The sequence below is a fragment of the Homo sapiens genome, chromosome 14, assembly GCF_000001405.40.
Source record: "Homo sapiens chromosome 14, GRCh38.p14 Primary Assembly".
Lineage (NCBI taxonomy): Eukaryota > Metazoa > Chordata > Mammalia > Primates > Hominidae > Homo > Homo sapiens.
In genome coordinates, this window is record NC_000014.9 from 60,999,553 (window position 1) to 61,023,949 (window position 24,397).

Consider the following 24,397-nt stretch of genomic DNA (forward strand, 5'->3'; position numbering starts at 1 on the left):
GCTTCCCGAAAAGGTAGCCACATCCTAGTCCCTGAAACCTGTAATTGTTACCTTATATGGCAAAAAAGAACTTTGCAGATGTGACTGAGTTAAGATGTTGAGATGGAGAGATTATCCTGGTGGACTCTAAATTCAGTCACATGTATCATGGAGGGAATATCATAGAGGAGATGCAGGCAACATGACCTCTGAGGCAGAGATTGGAATGACATGACCACAAATCAAGGCATGCCAGCAGCTACCAGAGACTGCAAGAGGCAAGGAATGGATTCTTTCTAGAGCTTTCAGAAGAGTGGCCCTGTGGACACCTTGATTTAGACATCGTGAAACTGGTTTTGGATTTCTGGACTTTAGAACTGAGAAAGAATAAATTTCTGTTGTTTTAAGCCATGAAGTTTGTGATAATTTCTTACAGCAGCCTTAGGAAACTAATACACTACTTACATAATATAATGCCATAACAATGAAATAAAGAAGACACAAAAAGTAAATGTTAGTGATGTGACTTTCCATTTAGGAAACAATTTTTTGCAAAGTTCCAAACAAAACAAATTATAGTCTTTTCTGCATTTACATGGTAATTGTATTTCTGGAAAATTTAATATATATTCAAACCATTAACCAATGTTTGTAGCATCTGCCATGTGCTTGACACACAGAGAGTATTTAATAAAAGCTGGATACATGGGTGATGAATAGATGGATGTATTAAAGCTACAAAGAGAGTACATAAGTTCCAAAATAAACATGCAAGGCAAAAATTATGTGTAGTCAAACGTATCTTTAAAAATTCTTGGGCAGGCCCAGTGGCTCACGCCTATAATCCCAGCACTTTGGGAGGACAAGGCAGGTGGATCACGAGGTCAGGAGTTCGTGACCAGTAGCCTGCCCAACATGGCGAAACCCATCTCTACTAAAACTACAAAAAATTAGCCGGGCGTGATGGCGGGCGCCTGTAATCCCAGCTACTCGGGAGCCCGAGTCAGGAGAATCGCTTGAACCCGAGATGCAGAGGTTGCAATAAGCTGAGATTGCCACCACTGCATTCCAGCCTGGGCGACAAGAGTGAAACTCCACTTCCAAGGGAAAAAAAAAATTCTTTACATAGCTTATCAAATACAGTGTTCAATATCTACATGACGTACTGGACACTGACACATACCATTTCTCAATAAAGAGCTGACAGCCCTCTCTCCCCATTCCCTCAGCATCGTTTGGGTATCTTATGAAGGACATGAGTTGTTTTAGGGATGTAATGAATTCCATTCAGCACTATGAGGTACTCTCACCGACAATCACAGAAGAATTAAAACTGACTGAAAGGCAATAGATATGTTTCCCATTTCAAAGCTCACTGTGGACATTTTCTTATGGTTTGGAATGGTTGTGAGCTGTCCAAACTATATTTTGATGTGTTTTTCTTCTTTTGATCAGGGATCATAGTTCAGTAAACCCACAGTTAAACTAAGTGGGCTGATCGTATGGGTCTATCTAAAGTGAATTTGTGTACTTGTCTCATCCTTCTTATTAATGAGTGGTTCTAAACTGGACTTGGTTTTTCTCCCATGGGGCATTTGGCAATGTCTGGAGGCATTTCTGATTGTCACAGCCGGGGATTGGGGAGGGCAGGGTGAGGCAAGGGGCTATTGGCAGGTAGTGGGTAAAGGCCAGGAATGATGCTAAACATTCTGCAATACACAGGACAGCCCCCAACAACAAATAATGATCTGGGCCCAAAAGTAGTGGCAAGGTTGAGAAACCCTGGCAACATTATGTGTGTGCTCCCCTTGTGTAGTGATTCCTTTGTAGTGTTTGCCTTGACATTAGATTAAGTGTTCCCTTAAGCAGAAGCTGAATTTTTTGTTATTGAGTTGCAGTGAAGGATGGGTGTGAATCTCTGCAGGGTTAAACATTTTTACATTAACCTTTCCTTTTTATTTTTATCAAAAGTAATATATGGTTACATGTATGTGTGCATGTGTGCACACACTTATGCAGAACTTAGAACAGTTCCCCACCCATTCTTCCCTAGTTTTATCGCATTTCCCAGAGTTAGCAACATGTAAAGAGTTTTGTTTTTAATTTTTTTGGTGATTGCCTCTCTAAGTCTAAATAATAGCTTTTGGTTATCTATTGATTTAAGAGATTATCTATTGACTCTTCACTGCAGAAGGTTAGCAAAAGCTCAGCTACACTAATCCCTCCCCTTCTTCCTTCTAATATTCATTAGTTTATATTCGATTGTCCTTTCATTGATTATTTTGTAATTCTAAATTAAATACATATAAACATTTAATTTTGTTCCATCAACTTTAGTCAGTATCTTTTTATCTTCTGCCTTTATTATACTAGCGCTTCTGTTCTTTCACCTTCCTTATTCCTATTTCCTATAGTCTGTCTGCTGTACCTTTACATTGTCAGATTGACAATATTTACTTTCTGTTTTATAATTATATTTGTTTGTTTTTATCCATAGGTTGAAGCCAAAAGTTGAAAACTATTACCATTTATAGGATATAACTGTAAATATTGTTCACTGAAGAGCTAAGTAGTATACTGAGATCCCAGAATCATCTCTATATATGCAATATCACATCCTCTGTGCCATGAGAAAGAATGTTCCTAGTATTCTAGCATTCTGTTTTCTGTGTTGAGTGTTTTAAAATCATGCCACATTCAGTTGGCACACTGGCATCTAAACACATACTAAGAAAGATCAGAAGTGTCAATGAAATTGCATAGTGAATATTCAAAAAATGAATGACCTGCATGGGCAAATAATACAAAAAAAAAAGATCAGAGGAAAATGATAGAAAACACAAGAAAGACAAGAATTTCAAAATAATAAGGGTACATTCCCAATGGCCAGCTTTCTGAGAGTTGAACTGTATTTGAATAACTCATGTCCCTCAACCCAGATCCAAAGATAATATTGCTGCTGCTGAAACCTGGGCTCTTTACTATGACCAGAGTTTATTAATTGTCCTATTTCATTGAGGAAAAAATGCAAAACAGAACACTGGAATGACTAGCTGGAAATATTCCACTATTTCATGGGAAGCAGGTTTCTAAACGATTCCTGTGGAGGCCAAACTCTTGCTCTCGCCAAAATATTATAGCATTAAAGTGTGCCTTGATGGTACATTAAGGAAGAAATTTTCCCCGAATTTACTTAAGATTTATAGCCTTTCTGCTCTCACAAAACGTAGCATTGATTTCTTTAATATCAAAAAAAGTTTCCTAAAATAAACTGCTAATGATTGCTTTCAGTCATTTGTTTACTTGAGGTCAGTCATGCCAAGTACTGTTTGTATCAATTCTTGTAAAAGACTCAATTAATTTTGTAATTGTCATAATTACTGTTATTCCTGTTCTGTAGGAATATGCTATTAATGTAACTGGACATCACCACATCTTATTTTTGTATCTCTCAAAACATCTTTCATAAAACTTTGATGGTAGGAAAGAGCTGAAAAAAAATCTCCTGTTAGTAGACCAAGTAGTACTTCAATTACTAAACACCAGAGAAAATTAAAATTACACCTTAAATAAAACCAACCAGATATTTGGTAGAGAAAATGGAACTGTACAAAAATATGGTTTTTAAAAATAAAATTCTACCACTTGTATTATATTCATTATAGACTATTGGAAACCGTTCCCTGCCAAAAAAAGAAAGAAAAAGAAAAAAGTTTGTGACCATTTGTAATTCATTTTAGTCTTTTTATGTATTTTTTTCACCTAAAATAATATGGGCATTTAAATATTTTAAATATAGTTTTAAATGGCTACATATTATTCTATCAAAAATACCTACCATAATTTATGTAACCACTTTCTCATTGTTGAGCATTTAGGTTAGTTTTGTTTTTCCAGTTGAAACAATACCCCCTGAGTATCTTTGCATATAATGATTTCTCTTGATTTTAGTTTTAAGACAAGCTCTTAGGGGTCAAATGTTTTAAATATTTTAAAGGTTCATTGTTCAAATTGCATTTCAACAGTCAATACCAGTTTACACTGTTTTCAGCATTTTAAGAAATTGCCCAAATGACAGAGCAGAATTTTAAAAGTATTTCCCTAGTGTTGATTTGGTTTATATGCTGAGATGCTGCAGATTTTTTGTTGTTAAAAAGTGAGTATGTGGAGATCAAACATTTGGCTGACTGTGTACACATTTTATTTAGTAAAGCCTCAATGTTAAGCAAGAAGCCATTACTCATATTCATGTTGTCTCAGGAATGGAAAAGTGCTTCTAATTTTTGCAACAAAAGAAGTCTGATGGCAGTGACAGAAAGGAATGACTAGCTAGATATGCTGACCGGAAAGCTAGAATTAGGATTTGACCATTGTAGTCAGTCTCCATTTAAGAGCCTAATGGTTTTTTCTTCTCAATTTGGAAGTTTGCTGCATTTAGAGATATTCTTATAAAACTAAAAAAAATAGACCCAGGGAGCAAGTTTGAGGTTACTAAAATGTATCCCATTATTGTCAGAGTTGCATTTCAAACTGTCTTCATTAAACTGTTAGTTTGATTACATTTTCTCAAACAGTAACTGTTGTGTTTTAATTTTTTAAATTAAAAATAAGTTTTAAATTTCAGGTAATTGAAAGACCAATTCTTTTTGGAATCTTTCAGTATTATGGTTTTGGTTCACAGCGAAGGTATTTGCTTGCTACATTTGCTAAATATACTATCTATACTTCATTTTGTTGCATAAAAATAAGACATACTCCGGTTAGCCTTTTTGATGGGTATTACCTTGATGACTTGCTCACTGACAGAGAAACTGATGTAAAATAGGTCATTTGAAAAGCAGGTGTTTGATATATCCCCATATGTAACACTGAAAAGCCTTCTTGCTCTAGATTTTTGGAAGGAAAGCTTTCTTAAGAAAGAACGGAAAAGAGAGAAGAACCAAATAGACGCAATAAAAAATGATAAAGGGGTTATCACCACTGATCCCACAGAAATACAAACTACCATCAGAGAATACTACAAACACCTCTACGCAAATAAACTAGAAAATCTAGAAGAAATGGATAAATTCCTTGACACATACACCCTCCCAACACTAAACCAGGAAGAAGTTGAATCTCTGAATAGACCAATAACAGGCTCTGAAATTGTGGCAATAATCAATAGCTTACCAACCAAAAAGAATCCAGGACCAGATGGATTCGCAGCCGAATTCTACCAGAGGTACAAGGAGGAACTGGTACCGTTCCTTCTGAAACTATTCCAATCAATAGAAAAAGAGGGAATCCTCCCTAACTCATTGTATGAGGCCAGCATCATCCTGATACCAAAGCCAGGCAGAGACACAACCAAAAAAGAGAATTTTAGACCAATATCCTTGATGAACATGGATGCAAAAATCCTCAATAAAATACTGGCAAACTGAATCCAGCAGCACATCAAAAAGCTTATCCACCATGATCAAGTGGGCTTCATCCCTAGGATGCAAGGCTGGTTCAATATACGCAAATCAATAAATGTAATCCAGCATATAAACAGAACCAAAGACAAAAACCACATGTTTATCTCAATAGATGCAGAAAAGGCCTTTGACAAAGTTCAGCCCATTCATGCTAAAAACAATAAATTAGGTATTGATGGGACGTATCTCCAAATTAGAAGAGCTATCTATGACAAACCCACAGCCAATATCATACTGAATGGGCAAAAACTGGAAGCATTCCCTTTGAAAACTGGCACAAGACAGGGATGCCCTCTCTCACCACTCCTATTCAACATAGTGTTGGAAGTTCTGGCCAGGGCAATCATGCAGGAGAAGGAAATAAAGGATATTCAATTAGGAAAAGAGGAAGTCAAATTGTCCCTGTTTGCAGATGACATGATTGTATATCTAGAAAACCCCATTGTCTCAGCCCAAAATCTCCTTAAGCTGATAAGCAACTTCAGCAAAGTCTCAGGATACAAAATCAATGTACAAAAATCACAAGCATTCTTATACACCAATAACAGACAAACAGAGAGCCAAATCATGAGTGAACTCCCATTCACAATTGCTTCAAAGAGAATAAAGTACCTAGGAATCCAACTTAGAAGGGATGTGAAGGACCTCTTCAAGGAGAACTACAAACCACTGCTTAATGAAATAAAAGAAGATACAAAGAAATGGAAGAACATTCCATGCTCATGGGTAGGAAGAATCAATATCATGAAAATCGCCATACTGCCCAAGGTAATTTATAGATTCAATGCCATCCCCATCAAGCTACCAATGACTTTCTTCACAGAGTTGGAAAAAACTAAAGTTCATATGGAACCAAAAAAGAGCCCGCATTGCCAAGTCAATCCTAAGCCAAAAGAACAAAGCTGGAGGCATCACGCTACCTGACTTCAAACTATACTACAAGGCTACAGTAACCAAAACAGCATGGTACTGGTACCAAAACAGAGATATAGATCAATGGAACAGAACAGAGCCCTCAGAAATAATGCCGCATATCTACACCTATCTGATCTTTGACAAACCTGAGAAAAACAAGCAATGGGGAAGGGATTCCCTATTTAATAAATGGTGCTGGGAAAACTGGCTAGCCATATGTAGAAAGCTGAAACTGGATCCCTTCCTTACACCTTATACAAAAATTAATTCAAGATGGATTAAAGACTTAAACATTAGATCTAAAACCATAAAAACCCTAGAAGAAAACTTAGGCATTACCATTGAGGACATAGGCATGGGCAAGGACTTCGTGTCTAAAACATCAAAAGCAATGGCAACAAAAGCCAAAATTGACAAATGAGATCTAATTAAACTAAAGAGCTTCTTCACAGCAAAAGAAACTACCATCAGAGTGAACAGGCAACCTACAAAATGGGAGAAAATTTTCACAACCTACTCATCTGACAAAGGGCTAATATCTAGAATCTACAATGAACTCAAACAAATTTACAGGAAAAAAACAACCCCATCAAAAAGTGGGCGAAGGACATGAACAGATACTTCTCAAAAGAAGACATTTATGCAGCCAAAAAACACATGAAAAAATGCTCACCATCACTGGCCATCAGAGAAATGCAAATCAAAACCACAATGAGATACCATCTCACACCAGTTAGAATGGCAGTCATTAAAAAGTCAGGAAACAACAGGTGCTGGAGAGGATGTGGAGAAATAGAAACACTTACACTGTTGGTGGGACTGTAAACTAGTTCAACCATTGTGGAAGTCAGTGTGGCGATTCCTCAGGGATCTAGAACTAGAAATACCATTTGACCCAGCCATCCCATTACTGGGTATATACCCAAAGGACTATAAATCATGCTGCTATAAAGACACATGCACACATATGTTTATTGCGGCACTATTCACAATAGCAAAGACTTGGAACCAAGCCAAATGTCCAACAATGATAGAGTGGATTAAGAAAATGTGGCACATATACACCATGGAATACTATGCAGCCATAAAAAATGATGAGTTCATGTCCTTTGTAGGGACATGGATGAAATTGGAAATCATCATTCTCAGCAAACTATCCCAAGGACAAAAAACCAAACACCACATGTTCTTACTCATAGGTGGGAATTGAACAATGAGAACACATGGACGCAGGAAGGGGAACATCACACTCTGAGGACTGTTGTGGGGTGGGAGGAAGGGAGAGGGATAGCATTAGGAGATATACCTAATGCTAAATGACGAGTTAATGGGTGCAGCACACCAGCGTGGCACATGTATACATATGTATCTAACCTTCACATTGTGCACATGTACCCTAAAACTTTAATAATAATAAAATAAAATAAAATAAAAGAACAGACCAGATGCAGTGGCTCACACCAGTAATCCCAGCACTTTGTGAGGCCAAGGTAGGAGGATGGCTTGAGTCCAAGAGTTTGAGATTAACCTGGGCAACATAGTGAAACCCTGCCTATACAAAAAGTAAAAAATGAAAAGTTAGCCTGGGCCTGGTGTATTTGCATGTGCCTGTGGTCCCAGCAACTCCAGGGGCTGAGGCAGGAGGATTGCTTGAGCCCAGTAGTTCAAGGCTGCAGTGAGCTGTGATTGTGCCAGTGCACTCTAGCTTGGGTTACAGAGTAAGACCCTGTCTCAAAAAAATAAGAATGTACATATTTAATTGTAATATGAAACGGATGCTGAAAATGAACACCGATATAAGTGACATATCAGAGATGCTCTGGAGACTTGGTTCATATAATATGGAACAAAATTACCTTCTCAATGCCAAATTAGAAAATGATATGTACATAATTTTCAGGTTTAAAATATATATACCAAGGCTTTGGGATGTTAAATATAAGGAATGTTGCCCATGTATAACATTATCAATTAAGCTTAAGAATATTAAAGATTTGTTGATTAAAATAATTACTAATTTTTGTGATAGCTTTTACTTTAGAATATGTGATTTGAAAAAAAAGAATGTTGACATTTCACATAGTTGGAAAAAATTCTAGTTCTTAGTTTTGTAACTTAATTTTATGTTCTAAAATATGTCTCAAATCCACCCTTGTAAAATTATTAGTCTTTTATTATTAAAGCATAAAGTTTGCTACTCATAAATCAAATTATATATCTCAAATTCAAAGCTAAATTGCCCTTGTGCATTGTTTAGCAGTATGTAAATACATTTTAGAAAAGGGCTGTATCATTCATGAAGTTTCCAAATTCGTTGATCAATTCTGATAATAAAGTTAAAATTTTTGTTCTTAATTAGTAGATCTCATTATTTTTTCAGCATTCCACTGACTTCTTTCTAACTTTGTAGTAATGATAGGTAAAGACTGTATCTGGCTTAAAAAATGCTTATTTTTACATACATGTAGGTCTTTGATTATGAAAGTACCGAGGAGTTCTTTTGTTTATACAGTGGCAGTTGAAAGAAAACCCATGTATATCTTGAGAAGATTTATTGGAACTAGCTTTGAGAAATGATGAGCCATATCTTTAACTCAATAAAAGATATGTATTGCTGTACCAAGCCTTGGTATCTGCTATTCTCTTTAGTGTAAGCACTTTTCAAACTATAGGATTATACAAATAGTAGCATCACTAGTTAAAACATAAAGCTATATGATCTAAAGACATAGTTTTGGTTATTTTTTGAGCCATTTAATTTTCATCTTTTCTGTGACCACATTTATTAAACATGTGACATGAAAATGGAATACTCTTTTATGATGACAAAAGAAAGTATATGCCCAGCCAATTATGGGATAAGAGTATTATTTTTTGTGAACACATTATCATCATTCTAGACACCTGGAGAAGTGAATATCTCTGAAAGTATCATACATTTATACTTTAACTTTATTTACATATCCAGTTTTCAGAAACCATTGCCAATGAAACATTTGGACAATGTGGTATGCAAGTACTGTATAGTAAGAAGTAGGGATGTTCTTGAGTAATTGTTCCATTTGAATTAATCCAGCATGGGTAGTTGTTAGACAACCATGAAATGTGCTAAGCTTTACCTATTCTAAGAGGACTCTATTCTTACAGACCATAAGCGTTCAAAAGTTTTCCAAGAAAAAAAGGTTACTTCTTTAAATTTAGTCTGCCCATTCAAAAGCTACAATAAGGCAGGTGGATTAAACTGCTAGGAGTTGCAATGTTAGTATTGAGAGCATTTAAGCAATTTAAAATCTTTCAGAATGCCTAAGATCACAAATTTACCCCTGATCAGCCTACACAGATTAACTTAAAATACATACAGAGAGATGTCAGATAGCTAGAGGGTCATAAATTAGTGACCAAAATTACATCAATCTGCATGTTGACATTGTTTACCTTATATTGATTAGAAACTTTTGCTTAGGAAAAAGGGGAAATAACTTTTATTTTAAATTATACTTTAAGTTCTAGGGTACATGTACACAACGTGCAGGTTTGTTACATATGGATACATGTGCCATGTTGGCGTGCCGCACCCATTAACTCATCATTTAGCATTAGGTATATCTCCTAATGCTATCCCTCCCCCTCCCCCACCCCACAGCAGGGATGTGTGATATTCCCCTTCCTGTGCCCATGTGTTCTCATTGTTCAACTCCCACCTATGAGTGAGAACATGTGGTGTTTGGTTTTTTGTCCTTGGGATAGTTTGCTGAGAATGATGGTTTCCAATTTCATCCATGTCCCTACAAAGGACATGCACTCATCATTTTTTATGGCTGCATAGTATTCCATGGTGTATATGTGCCACATTTTCTTAATCCAGTCTATCATTGTTGGACATTTAGGTTGGTTCCAAGTCTTTGCTATTGTGAATAGTGCCACAGTAAACATACGTGTGCCTTTGTCTTTATAGAAGCATGATTTATGTTCCTTTGGGTATATACCCAGTAATGGGATGGCTGGGTCAAATGGTATTTCTAGTTCTAGATCCCTGAGGAATCACCACACTGACTTCCACAATGGTTGAACTAGTTTACAGTCCCACCAACAGTGTAAAAGTGTTCCTATTTTTCCACATCCTCTCCAGCACCTGTTGTTTCCTAACTTTTTAATGATTGCCATTCTAACTGGTGTGAGATGGTATCTCACTGTGGTTTTGATTTGCATTTCTCTGATGGCCAGTGATGATGAGCATTTTTTCATGTGTTTTTTGGCTGCATAAATGTCTTCTTTTGAGAAGTGTCTGTTCATATCCTTCGCCCACTTGTTGATGCGGTTGTTTTTTTCTTGTAAATTTGTTTGAGTTCATTGTAGATTCTGGATATTAGCCCTTTGTCAGAAGAGTAGGTTGCAAAAATTTTCTCCCATTTTGTAGGTTGCCTGTTCACTCTGATGGTAGTTTCTTTTGCTGTGCAGAAGCTCTTTAGTTTAATTAGATCCCATTTGTCAATTTTGGCTTTTGCTGCCATTGCTTTTGGTGTTTTAGACACGAAGTCCTTAACAGCCCATGCCTATGTCCTGAATGGTATTGCCTAGGTTTTCTTCTATGGTTTTTATGGTTTTAGGTCTAACATTTAAGTCTTTAATCCATCTTGAATTAATTTTTGTATAAAGCGTAAGGAAGGGATCCAAGTTCACCTTTCTACATATGGCTAGCCAGTTTTCCCAGCACCATTTATTAAATAGGGAATCCTTTCCCCATTTCCTGTTTTTCTCAGGTTTGTCAAAGTTCAGATAGTTGTAGATATGCGACATTATTTCTGAGGGCTCTGTTGTGTTCCATTGGTATATATATCTGTTTTGGTACCAGTACCGTGCTGTTTTGGTTACTGTAGCCTCGTAGTATAGTTTGAAGTCAGGTAGCGTGATGCCTCCAGCTTTGTTCTTTTGGCTTAGGATTGATTTGGCAATGCGGGCTCTTTTTCAGTTCCATATGAACTTTAAAGTAGTTTTTTCCAATTCTGTGAAGAAAGTCATTGGTAGCTCGTTGGGGATGGCATTGAATCTATAAATTACCTTGGGCAGTATGGCCATTTTCACGACATTGATTCTTCCTACCCATGCGCATGGAATGTTCTTCCATTTGTTTGTATCTTCTTTTATTTCATTGAGCAGTGGTTTGTAGTTCTTGAAGAGGTCCTTCACATCCCTTCTAAGTTGGATTCCTAGGTATTTTATTCTCTTTGAAGCAATGGTCAATGGGAATTCACTCATGATTTGGCTCTCTGTTTGTCTGTTATTGGTATATAGGAATGCATGTGATTTTTACACATTGATTTTGTATCCTGAGACTTTGCTGAAGTTGCCTATCAGCTTAAGGAGATTTTGGGCCGAGATGGTGGGGTTTTCGAGATATACAATCATGTCATCTGCAAACAGGGACAATTTGACTTCCTCTTTTCCTAATTGAATACCCTTTATTTCCTTCTCCTGCCTGATTGCCCTGGCCAGAACTTCCAACACTATGTTGAATAGGAGTGGTGAGAGAGGGCATCCCTGTCTTGTGCCAGTTTTCAAAGGGAATGCTTCCAGTTTTTGCCCATTCAGTATGATATTGGCTGTGGGTTTGTCATAGATAGCTCTTATTATTTTGAGATACGTCCCATCAATACCTAATTTATTGAGAGTTTTTAGCATGAATGGGCTGTTGAATTTTGCCAAAGGCCTTTTCTGCATCTATTGAGATAATCATGTGGTTTTTGTCTTTGGCTCTGTTTATATGCTGGATTACATTTATTGATTTGCGTATGTTGAACCAGCCTTCCATCCCAGGGATGAAGCCGACTTGATTATGGTGGATAAGCTTTTTGATGTGCTGCTGGATTCAGTTTGCCAGTATTTTATTGAGGATTTTTGCATCGATGTTCATCAGGGATATTGGTCTAAAATTCTCTTTTTTTGGTTGTGTCTCTGCCAGACTTTGGTATCAGGATAATGCTGGCCTCATACAATGAGTTAGGGAGGATTCCCTCTTTTTCTATTGATTGGAATAGTTTCAGAAGGAATGGTACCAGCTCCTCCTTGTACCTCTGGTAAAATTCGGCTGTGATTGCATCTGGTCCTGGACTTTTTTTGGTTGGTAGGCTATTAATTATTGCCTCAATTTCAGAGCCTGTTATTGGTCTATTCAGAGATTCAACTTCTTCCTGGTTTAGTGTTGGGAGGGTGTATGTGTCAAGGAATTTATCCATTTCTTCTAGATTTTCTAGTTTATTTGCATAGAGGTGTTTATAGTATTCTCTGATTGTAGTTTGTATTTCTGTGGGATCGGTGGTGATATCCCCTTTATCATTTTTTATTGCATCTATTTGATTCTTCTCTCTTTTCTTCTGTATTAGTCTTGCTAGCGGTCTATCAATTTTGTTGATCTGTTCAAAAAAGCAGCTTCTGGATTCATTGATTTTTTTGCAGGGTTTTTTGTGTCTCTATTTCCTTCAGTTCTGCTCTGATCTTAGTTATTTCTTGCCTTCTGCTAGCTTTTGAATGTGTTTGCTCTTGCTTCTCTAGTTCTTTTATTGTGATGTTAGGGTGTCAATTTTAGATCTTTCCTGCTTTCTCTTGTGGGCATTTTGTCCTATAAAGTTCCCTCTACACACTGCTTTGAATGTGTCCCAGAGATTCTGGTATGTTGTGTCTTTGTTCTTGTTGATTTGAAAGAATGTCTTTATTTCTGCCTTCATTTCATTATTTACCCAGTAGTCATTCAGGAGCAGGTTGTTCAGTTGCCATGTAGTTGAGCGGTGTTGAGTTAGTTTCTTAATCCTGAGTTCTAGTTTGATTGCACTGTGGTCTGAGAGACAGTTTGTTATCATTTCTGCTCTTTTACATTTGCTGAAGAGTGCTTTACTTCCAACTATGTGGTCAGTTTTGGAATAGGTGTGGTGTGGTGCTGAAAAGAATGTGTATTCTGTTGATTTGGGTTGGAGAGTTCTGTAGATGTCTATTAGGTCCACTTGGTGCAGAGCTGAGTTCAATTCCTGGAGATCCTTGTTAACTTTCTGTCTCGTGGATCTGTCTAATGTTAACAGTGGGGTGTTAAAGTCTCCCATTATTATTGTGTGGGAGTCTAAGTCTCTTTGTAGGTCTCTAAGGACTTGCTTTATGAATCTGGGTGCTCCTGTATTGGGTGCATATATATTTAGGATAGTTAGCTCTTCTTGTTGAATTGATCCCTTTACCATTATGTAATGGCCTTCTTTGTCTCTTTTTATCTTTGTTGGTTTAAAGTCTATTTTATCAGAGACTAGGATTGCAACCCCTGCCTTTTTTTGTTTTCCGTTTGCTTGGTAGATCTTCCTCCATCCCTTTATTTTGAGCCTATGTGTGTCTCTGCACATGAGATGGGTCTGCTGAATACAGCACACTGATGGGTCTTGACTCTTTATCCAATTTGCCAGTCTGTGTCTTTTAATTGGAGTATTTAGCCCATATACATTTAAGGTTAGTATTGTTATGTGTGAATTTGATCCTGTCGTTATGATGTTAGCTGGTTATTTTGCTCGTTAGTTGATGCAGTTTCTTCCTAGCCTTGATGGTCTTCACAATTTGGCATGTTTTTGCAGTGACTGGTACTGGTTGTTCCTTTCCATGTTTAGTGCTTCCTTCAGGAGCTCTTGTAGGGCGGGTCTGGTGATGACAAAATCTCTCAGCATTTGCTTGTCTGTAAAGGATTTTATTTCTCCTTCACTTATGAAGCTTAGTTTGGCTGGATATTAAATTCTGGGTTGAAAATTCTTTTCTTTAAGAATGTTGAATATTGGCCCCCAATGTCTTCTGGCTTGTGAAGTTTCTGCCAAGAGATCAGCTGTTAGTCTGATGGGCTTCCCATTGTGGGTAACCCGACTTTCTCTCTGGCTGCCCTTAACATTTTTTCCTTCATTTCAACTTTGGTGAATCTGACAATTATATGTTTTGGAGTTGCTCTTCTCGTGGAGTATGTTAGTGGCGTTCTCTGTATTTCCTGAATGTGAATGTTGGCCTGCCTTGCTAGGCTGGGGAAGTTCTCCTGGATAATATGCTGCAGAGTGTTTTCCAACTTAGTTCCATTCTCCCTATCACTTTCAGGTACACCAATCAGACGTAGATTTGGTCTTTTCACATAGTCCCATATTTCTTGGAGGCTTTGTTCATTTCTTTTTATTCTTTTTTCTCTAAACTTCTCTTCTCGCTTCATTTCATTCATTTGATCTTTCATCACTGATAGCCTTTCTTCCAGTTGATTGAATCGGCTACTGAGGCTTGTGCATTCATCACGTAGTTCTCGTGCCGTGGTTTTCAGCTCCATCAGGTCCTTTAGGGACTTCTCTGCATTGGTTATTCTAGTTAGCCATTCGTCTAATTTTTTTTCAAGGTTTTTAACTTCTTTGCCATGGGTTCGAACTTCCTCCTTTAGCTTGGAGTAGTTTGATCTTCTGAAGCCTTCTTCTCTCAACTCGTCAAAGTCATTCTCCATCCAGCTTTGTTCCATTGATGGTGAGGAGCTGCTTTCCTTTGGAGGAACAGAGGTGCTCTGATTTTTAGAGTTTCCAGTTTTTCTGCTCTGTTTTTTCCCCATCTTTGTTGTTTTATCTACCTTTGGTCTTTGATGATGGTGACGTACAGGTGGGGTTTTGGTGTGGATGTCCTTTCTGTTTGTTAGTTTTCCTTCTAACAGTTAGGACCCTCAGCTGCAGGTCTGTTGGAGTTTACTGGAAGTCCACTCCAGACCCTTTTTGTCTGGGTATCAGCAGCAGAGGCTGCAGAACAGCGGATATTGGTGAACAGCAAATGTTGCTGCCTGATCGTTCCTCTGGAAGTTTTGTCTCAGAGGAGTACCCGGCCGTGTGAGGTGTCAGTCTGCCCCTACAGGGGGGTGCCTCCCAGTTAGGCTCCTCGGGGGTCAGGGACCCACTTGAGGAGGCATTCTGTCCCTTCTCAGATCTCCAGCTGCGTGCTGGGAGAACCACTACTCTCATCAAAGCTGTCAGACAGAGACATTTAAGTCTGGACAGGTTTCTCTGCCTTTTGTTTGGCTATGCCCTGCCCCTAGAGGTGGAGTCTACAGAGGCACGCAGGGCTCCTTGAGCTGTGGTGGGCTCCACCCAGTTCGAGCTTCCAGTCCACTTTCTTTACCTATTGAAGCCTCGGCAATGGCAGCGCCCATCCCCCAGCCTCGCTGCAGCCTTGCAGTTTGATCTCAGACTGCTGTGCTAGCAATGAGCGAGGCTCCGTGGGCATAGGACCCTCCGAGCCAGGTGCGGGATATAATCTCCTGGTGTACCATTTGCTAAGACCATTGGAAAAGCGCAGTATTAGGGTGGGAGTGACCCGATTTTCCAGGTGCCGGCTGTCATCCCTTTCTTTGACTAGGAAAGGGAATTCCCTGACCCCTTGCACTTCCCAGGTGAGGTGATGCCTCACCCTGCTTCGGCTCATGCTCGGTTCACTGCACCCACTGTCCTGCACCCACTGTCCAACACTCCCCAGTGAGATGAACCCGGTACCTCAGTTGGAAATGCAGAAATCACCCATCTTCTGTGTCCGGAAATAACTTTTAATATGTACAGCTTGAGAGAAAGAATCTTTCAGAAATGAGATAGAGAAACATAATAAAAGAATCCTTGGTGATTTTCTTAAAAAGTAAAAACCGTCACTACTGAGAAAAAGACATGTTTTACAAAGACATCTGAAAATCATAGGTATTGTGGCTTATGTTTTGGGATGGAAATGAAAGATTTGATGAAAATTACCAGAGATTTTTACATAAAACAGCTGATTAAAGCCAACCATCCTTTTTAGTGTTGCCTTTATTTGAGGATGTTAGGGAGAATTTTCTCATTTTGTGTTTAGTCCTGATTGGCCTGGATCATAAGAATTATACTGTATTTAGTTTGTAGTAGGACCTGCTCTTCTCTTTAGGACCTGACACATAAATAGTTTTGTGTAAAAGTGAACATTGTAATTTCTCTTAACAGCTGTAACATCTTATGAAGATCTTGGACTCTTTGCATTTGGATTACCTGGAAAGGTAATTTTTTTTCCTCCTCATTGTGTCCAAAACCCAAAGTGGCATTTTTCCTTTTGTTTCAAGTTAAAAGAGACAAGTATATACAAGAGGAAGACATTAGAGGAATAAAAGGAAACTAAAGTGAGAAAAGAGAGAATGATAGGAGCAGGCAAAGAAAGAGAAGTCTTTGTGTCCTTCCTAAAAATGCATCAATACATTTAATTCAATGCTTGAATCTTTTAATATTTTTCATCCTAATAAAGTAGCACAATGACTTGAATGACTTTAAAAGAGTAACGATGACCTGTTTTAAGTTGTATTAATTTTGATTATGTACTCATATGAGTAAACCCTCATAAAGACAAGAAAAGAAAAGCAACATCGAATTCAAATTGTAGCATGGCTATTTACAAAACCAGTAATCAGAAGATCATATCACTTAAGAATTGAACATTGCTACAAGATTATCTAGCTATCCTCTCATTTATAGGTGAGGAAATTAAGGACCAGAGAAATTAAGGGACCTATTTGTCAACTATTATATAAAGCCAGTACCACATCCTAGAACTCTAGATCTACTGCTTTTCTTACTCAGAATAAGAGAAATAACAGCAGTATTTATGGGGCACCCACTTGCAATAGGGATACTACACTAGTTTAATAGGTAGAGAAAAATAATTGTCTTCCACCAGTAATCAGGAGTTGAACGTTACTGTTAGTGCTATAGTATATATATTTTTTAATTTCTGAAGAACTACTATACTTCTAAAATTCATATTCATTTTGGCTCCAAACAGGAATTCTTTTGTTTGTAAATCTGTTGTTTGTGTTTTTATGTTTTCGATTGACAAATACAAATTGTATATATTTATTATGGACAACATGTCATTTTGAAATATGTAAACATTGTAGAATGGCTAAATTGACCTAATTAATATTTGCATTACTTCACATACTTACCATTTTTTGTTTTATTTTTATTCTAAAAGGATACTCTATCTGTAACTGGCTAAACTAACTTCTGAAAGTGAGTCTGGAGGAAATATATATAGCTATACAATGGAAAGAAAACCTGTATTTACATTCCAGTTAACTTTGGTGGAGTTTTTTGTTTTTGTTTTTTCAGACAGAGTTTCGCTCTTGTTGCCCAGGCTGGAGTGAAATGGCATGATCTCAGCTCACCACAACCTCCGCCTCCCTGGTTCAAGCGATTCTCCTGCCTCAGCCTCCTAAGTAGCTAGGATTACAGGCATGTGTCACCAGGCCTGGCTAATTTTGTATTTTTAGTAGAGACAGATTTCTCTATGTTGGTCAGGCTGGTCTGGGCCTCCCGACCTCAGGTGATCCACCTGCCTCGGCCTCCCAACGTGCTGGGATTACAGCGTTAGCCACCGCGCCCGGCCCTAACTTTGTTTTTAAAGTACAAAAAGGAATGCTTAAATCATATACTATATAGCATCATGGCTTGGACCTTAGTCACCTGAAACTTAAACAAAACAGAATATGTTACTTGAGGGTAAAAGGTTTTGTTAATCTTCCTTAGTAGCAATGTTTCTGTTCTAGAGGATTAGGATGTTTGGTGTAGCCAGGGATCAGTTTCCTCCATCTAGTTTAAACAAAGAAGAAAATATTTTTTGTATGAGAAAATTCCACAATTAATATAACATAACCTATAAACATAACTCTAAGTATCAACACTGACATCACTGTCATTTCATGTTCATATTTCCTGCGTTGCTTGTATAGCAGCAAAGTTTAAAGAGTAGGGACTGCTGAGAGTCTTCTTTTCCTAAACCTCTTAGAGTAGTTGTGTTGTCATTTTAATACATGCACCAAAAAAGTTCATAGTAGGCAGGAACACTAGACAAAGCATACTCTGAATGAGGAGTTGTTGTTTGGTTGCTTGTTTAAATTTTCTCCACACTTCCACAGTTGGGTTGAAACTTAACCATTTCCTTCTATCCAGATGTTATATAGTTATAATATGGGATAATATTATGATAAAGAAATTTTTTGAAATGTTTTGAACTTGTTAAAGATTTATTTCAATGTCTATAAATTGGTATTTATTCACCAGACAAATATTTATTGATCAAATACTTTGTACCATGTACTGTGCTAGGCATTAAAAATATAAGTAGGTAGGCAGGTGGGTAGATAGATAGATATTCTAGCTTTCAAGATATTAAATGCTTAAATTCAGCCAAAGAATGAAAGAATAATCATCAATAAGTTAATATTACTGTTTTTTGCAATATATTAATTGAAAATAAAACCAAATTTCATGTATACCTACTACTGACAGTAGGTATCATTTGTACTGAAGATAGTATACACAAGTTCAAAATAGTCTTTTCACAAATAACTTCGACATTTTGGAACTAAGTTTTACATAGGCTGAAATGCAGAATTTTTTCTGGAGAGCGTTCAAGTGGCAATCACCACATCTCCAAAGACACTTTGCCAGATTTTCATATCATTAGCCCTCCTCTGCAAACCTCAAGGCTCCTAGGTCCTAATAACTTAGATTGTTTTCAGTGTAGGCAAATGCTGTGCCACTGATAGAATTCCTAACAAAGATGGGCATGAAAGATTATCTGTTCCCAATTCATGTAGAACTGAATGATTCTAGACAGCTAGTCAGCTCCAGGCATACGTTGGGGTTCCGATCCATTAAGACTTGAGTGATTGAAAGGCCCACATGGAAGCACAGTGTTTTACTGTTTCCTCTAAGCATATCTGATTACCTTGAGTTCCCCAGGAATCTCATCAAAGATGATAAGCTAACAAGCCTACAGACTGAATTTAGTCCTCAGGCACATTTTATATGGCTCAAATATTTTTTATTTTTAACTGATTACCAACTAAGCATCATTAAAGTATGAAAAAATTTCATTTCTGACTTTCTTTGAAAAATCAGATCTGGCTACATTGGATCCACATTCTCACATATTATCAACTGGCCAGAGCTGAGTAGCACCTGCCCCATTGAAGGGGGAGGAATTCTCCAATATCCTACAGTTCTTGCCAACTCCCATTGTCTTATATTCAGCTTAATTCACATTATTGAGTTTGGAACATTTTGCCTATATTTTCAGGGTTTGAGAGTAATTGGGCTCTAGACTTTATTAATCTCTGGGACTGGGATGCTCAAAGTCTGGGATGCTGATATAGTCAGAAAACTTATATCATTTCCTTTTAGGCAATATAGCATTGGCATAGCACACCCAGCCGGTCTTTTTCTACTTATTTAAGCAGTGTGATAAAACCAGCAAGAAGGGAATGAGACACCACTCCCACACTTTTAATTTTTATACTTGATAATCATCGATTACTAGCTTTTAACACTTTTAACAATTTAAAAGTGACTGCCAAGAAAAATTTCAAAAACTTCTTTATAGTAACTTTGGAACTATTAAAGAAATACTTTTTAATGTGATGATTATTAATTTTATGTATTTCAAATGACTGGCAGATTTCTTTTTAGTTTCTCCTCACAACTTCTGCATCTGCTTTTTTAGTAATAGTTACTGGATTTTAATAAAATACTGATCCTTTTATATTGTTTCCCCTTCTATCTTCTGAATATTTCTGTTCTTTTACAGTTGGTGGTGGCAGGCACCATAATAATTCAGAATATTGGAGGTAAGCAATTGCAAGTGCACTGTTTATACATAAATGTGATGGCAATAATGTCCTTTGAATTGTTATCTTACTACAGATCTAGCTGGGAACTTCTGTAGACATAGCTATCTTCAGAAGCCTGTGTGTTGGCCTCTTTACTCTTTTTTTTTTTGGATCCTTTTTAGCAGCACTTGTGACAGTAGCTTCTAAATTCAGTTTGAGCTAAACCCTGATTGCAGTCGTGTTATTAGGTCTGCAACACACCTCTAAAACATTGGCTTTCTGTGATTCTGAAGGTAGGATACAGTCTGGAAAAGCTCTCCTGGTGATTTTAAAATATTTTCCCTCTACTTTTGTTCTAATCACCCTATTGGCAGATACTACTTTAGAGGGATTAGTGTTCCGTGGGCTGTGAACAAGCAAGTATGGACAACAGTGTCCTCTTGTAACCAAGAATTTAAAATGACCAAGTGGTTTAAAACATAAATAAATCTGAGATAAATAAGCATTCTCACATTTATCCTGTATCTTGTTCCTATTAATAACCAATTCTAGAAATGATCTCAATATTGAGAACTATGTAGAAATAAAACTACTGTTAATTATAGACAGTTACTGAGTAAATGTATTAAACATTTAAATCCAAAATATGGGTATCATGTGTGTATATGTTGTAAAGAAGTTGCGTAGTGCTGAACAATATCTTCGTTTTCTTTTATCATTGACTGGAGTGCTAAATAAATGCTCTTAAAGGAAAATACACAGAAAAGTTTGACATGTACTTTGGATCTTATACAGGATTGTATAGTCAGAGGACATTTTAATCTTATTTTTTACATGTAACAGTTTAATTCAAAGATGACAGTTTTAATAAACTTCAGCTCTCATAATCAAGAGGTCTGAGCTATATCACTTTAAGTATTGTTCAATCAAATTCCATCGTTAATAGGTTTTTTTGGTTAAGGAAAAATTGACATTCCACCAGTGAATTGTGCTGCCATTGTTTTAGAATCCTGTTTTAATTCTTTGAATTTTCATGAAAAAATATGAATAAAAAGAATGCTTTCTTGCATGCCATACCAAATAATTTTCTCCTAACACACACTACTTCACACTTCACAGTAGAAAGTCAAGAAAACCAGTCTCTTCATTTATGAATTTATTATAGTCATTGATTTTAAGATCTATTTTGGAATAATTTATTTAGCAACTAAGTATTGCTTAACTGTGCACTGATAATGTTTCTGAATATGATGTATATTTTTATATTTTTAATCCCTCTTTATCCTCTCTGTATAGATTCTAAGAACTATCACATATTGTTTAGGTTAGATTGAACCATTGTTTAACAGTTTATGTAGACTGTTCAGTTCAGCAATTTAGATCCAAATTTGTGACCCTGGCACAAGGCCCACTGTTGTATTCTTTGTCCCTTTCACCTTGATTCCTTCCTTGTTCTCTAATCTTGTTTATAACTGTTATTGGAGATGGCTATACTGTAGCACTTGGCTGCTACTAGATTTAACTTCTCTGTATGTATGCTCCTGTACCCCACTATATTGTTAAGTTCCTTTAGCTCAAAAGTATGCCTCATTTCTCTTTGTACTCCCAGCACCTATTACACCTGGGAATTGATAAACTTGTTGAGCAGAATAGAGCTGAAATGATTTGTATAATCTCTTTCTAAGTACCTTAAATATTCTAGATATATTTATCAAGAAGAGAAAAGGGAAATGCTAGACCGGCATCTAGCTTCAGGTATTTGAAAGACTGAACATGAAATATAAAAAAGACACTAGACTAATTCAAGTATTGTTCCAGAGGGCAGAACTGGTGCTAATGTATAGAAATCTACAGAGAAGCTGTTTTGGGTTTTCTTATTCGGAGTACCCTTGTAACTAAGCTGTGTGATAATGAGGATGGCCTACATCCCTTTGAAAATGCTCCTTAGCCCTGAAAACATTCAAACAGAGCTGGTTGGTCAGTTGCCAGAATTCTAGAAAGGATTCTTGCATTTGGAGGTGGATAAATCATGAGTTTTCCCAACTCTTAATTTTGTTGGTTTGCTTGCTTGCTTATTTTAGAACTTTTTTTTAAAAAGGTGATTTAGAGTGGTCACAGCAGTTTTTAATGTCCCTTAAATTTAGAAAAGCTAGTAATGCTTATTTAGTTTTTAGAATGATATCCTCATGATTTTCTTCACATTGGTTAAAAGTGTATTAAGTGCCCAGTCAGTAATAACCAAATACATATTTTCAGAGTTTTTTCTGTCTTTTTTCGTAGCCAGATGTACATAAACCATTTCTTTATTATAATAGAATTGGAAGCTTGCTCTTGTGAGCAGAACACTAGATTGGAAGTCAGATACCTTGAATTCTGTCTACTCCAGTCTCTGCCATTGGGTAGCCATGTGTCTTGTGGAAATCCCTCACTCTCACTGTCTTGGCTTCAGTTCCCTCTTTGTTAAATTGTTGGACGGTAGAGTGGGAAGCAGGGAGTTTAAGGTCCCTTCTTACCCCAAAATTTGAATTCAAATTTGGCACATTGGGAGGCATATTAATTATTTTAACGTATTAACGTATTTTATTACAGGAAAGTTCAATGCGAGGGTTATACTTGGTTCAAAAGATGATTTGGCCCTTTCTTAGGTATCTTTAACAAATCAATAACTATTGCCCTAAAAGCATTCATGGATGCTATTTTTTGTCACTAAGCAAAAGGGAACTTCAGTTCTTAGGACTACCCTTTAGAACCTCCTCTTAGGTTAAAGTCTAGGAACCCTAGCCTTAAAAAGTAGTTTCTTGATTGATATATACAGAATCTGTGGAACTTCTAGTCCATGTATGCTTGCAAACAACATACTTATTTGGGAGGATATTTAATATACTGTGTCATTATATTAAATAAGTATATATATATATATACAGTTTTATTATAATAAATAAGTTAATCGTACAATGACCAATGTTACTTCATTAAAATGGATTTTGATTATTTTCTTTATTAATTGGAAATATATTGGATATTTAAAAGATTATATTAAGTGTAAATCAGATTGAATTTTTACACATCTTAAGTGCCTGTCTGCAAATAATGTAGTTCAGATAACTTTTTTTTAAAAGAATGTTTGTTAGTATAAATTATCTGACTTTTGCAGTGGTTGTTTACATTAAAACTGAAAAATAATGTAATAGATTCTATTTAGGTCAAGCACTCTACTAGATACTTTAATTATAACAACTCTTCAATATAGATATTATCTTCATTTTATAGAGAAGAGATCAGTGTGCAGTGGAGATAAGTAGCTTGCTCACATTTATCCCATAATGAAGCTTGGATTCAAACCTTGCTCAGTTGGCCTTTATTCTTTCTGCTATGATATAGCAAATGTTTGAAAAATGTGAAAAGATTAAATGTTGAAGATTTTCTAACTTCTTGGGGACAGGAACTATGTGTTTTTATTTGTTTTCCTAACTTTACCTAGTTTCTGAGAAGAGCTCAATAAGTAGTATTTGTTGAATGAATTGGACAGTTTTTAAAGTTCTGCTTAAAAGCCTAAGATTTTGCCTCAAAGAGACAATTGAATATACTATGTAAGTGATAAAAAAAGAAACTTGAAAGACCATAGAATGACTTCTAGTTTAGAATTATATAAAAATTTAAAAGTTCAAAATACTGGGGAGAGTTAGATCTCATTTATGTAAAATGGGTTAACAATATATTGAAATAGGCTGGGTGTGGAGGCCCACGCCTGTAAGCCTAGCACTTTGGGAGGCCAAAGTGGGAGGATTGCCTGAGCTCAGGAGTTTGAGACCAGCCTGGGCAACATGGTGAAACCCAGTCTCTACTAAAAATACAAAAAATTAGCCAGGCTTGGGGTTGTGTGCCTGTAAGTCCCAGCTACTCAGGTGGCTGAGGCAGGAAAATCGTTTAAACCCGGTAGACGGAGGTTGCAGTAAGCCAAGATCTCGCCACTGAACTCCAACCTGGGCAACTGTCTCAAAAATAATAATAATAATAATAATAATAATATATATATATACACACACACACACACACATATATGTAAAATATCTATTATTTTCAGGTTAAGAAAATCATATCTTAATGTTTCTTAACTCTCTTATTCTTTGTAACATTTAAATACTTCTCAGTTTTCATGAGATACAATTCCTGTGGTGAATCCATGAAAAAAATTGAAATGGAAGGCCTTTAAAAGCAAAATGACCATGGATTGCCCTTGATCAATATTTGTTTCATGTGTCTTTCGCCAAAGACCCAGTTTATTTCCCACATTTCCATATTCCATAAATCAAATTAATGTGCTCATTTATTTACATCCCTAGTACTTAGCACATAGTATACATTTAGTAAATAACATTTATTATAG

General features: G+C 36.6%; 1 protein-coding gene across 22 annotated transcripts in view; it reads left to right on the forward strand.

Annotated features, from left to right (window-relative positions):
* SLC38A6 (solute carrier family 38 member 6) overlaps positions 1-24,397 on the forward strand; it is a 102,489-nt gene that overhangs the window by 18,308 nt on the left and 59,784 nt on the right. For all 22 annotated transcript variants that reach the window (NR_033344.2, XR_007063987.1, XR_007063988.1 and 19 more), the window contains 2 exons: positions 16,352-16,404; positions 19,989-20,028. Coding sequence is in view for 17 of the 22 variants with exons in the window: in XM_017021022.2 (XP_016876511.1) it covers positions 16,352-16,404; positions 19,989-20,028 (93 nt within the window). In the remaining 5 variants the exon portion in view is untranslated. The remainder of the gene's footprint in view (positions 1-16,351; positions 16,405-19,988; positions 20,029-24,397) is intronic.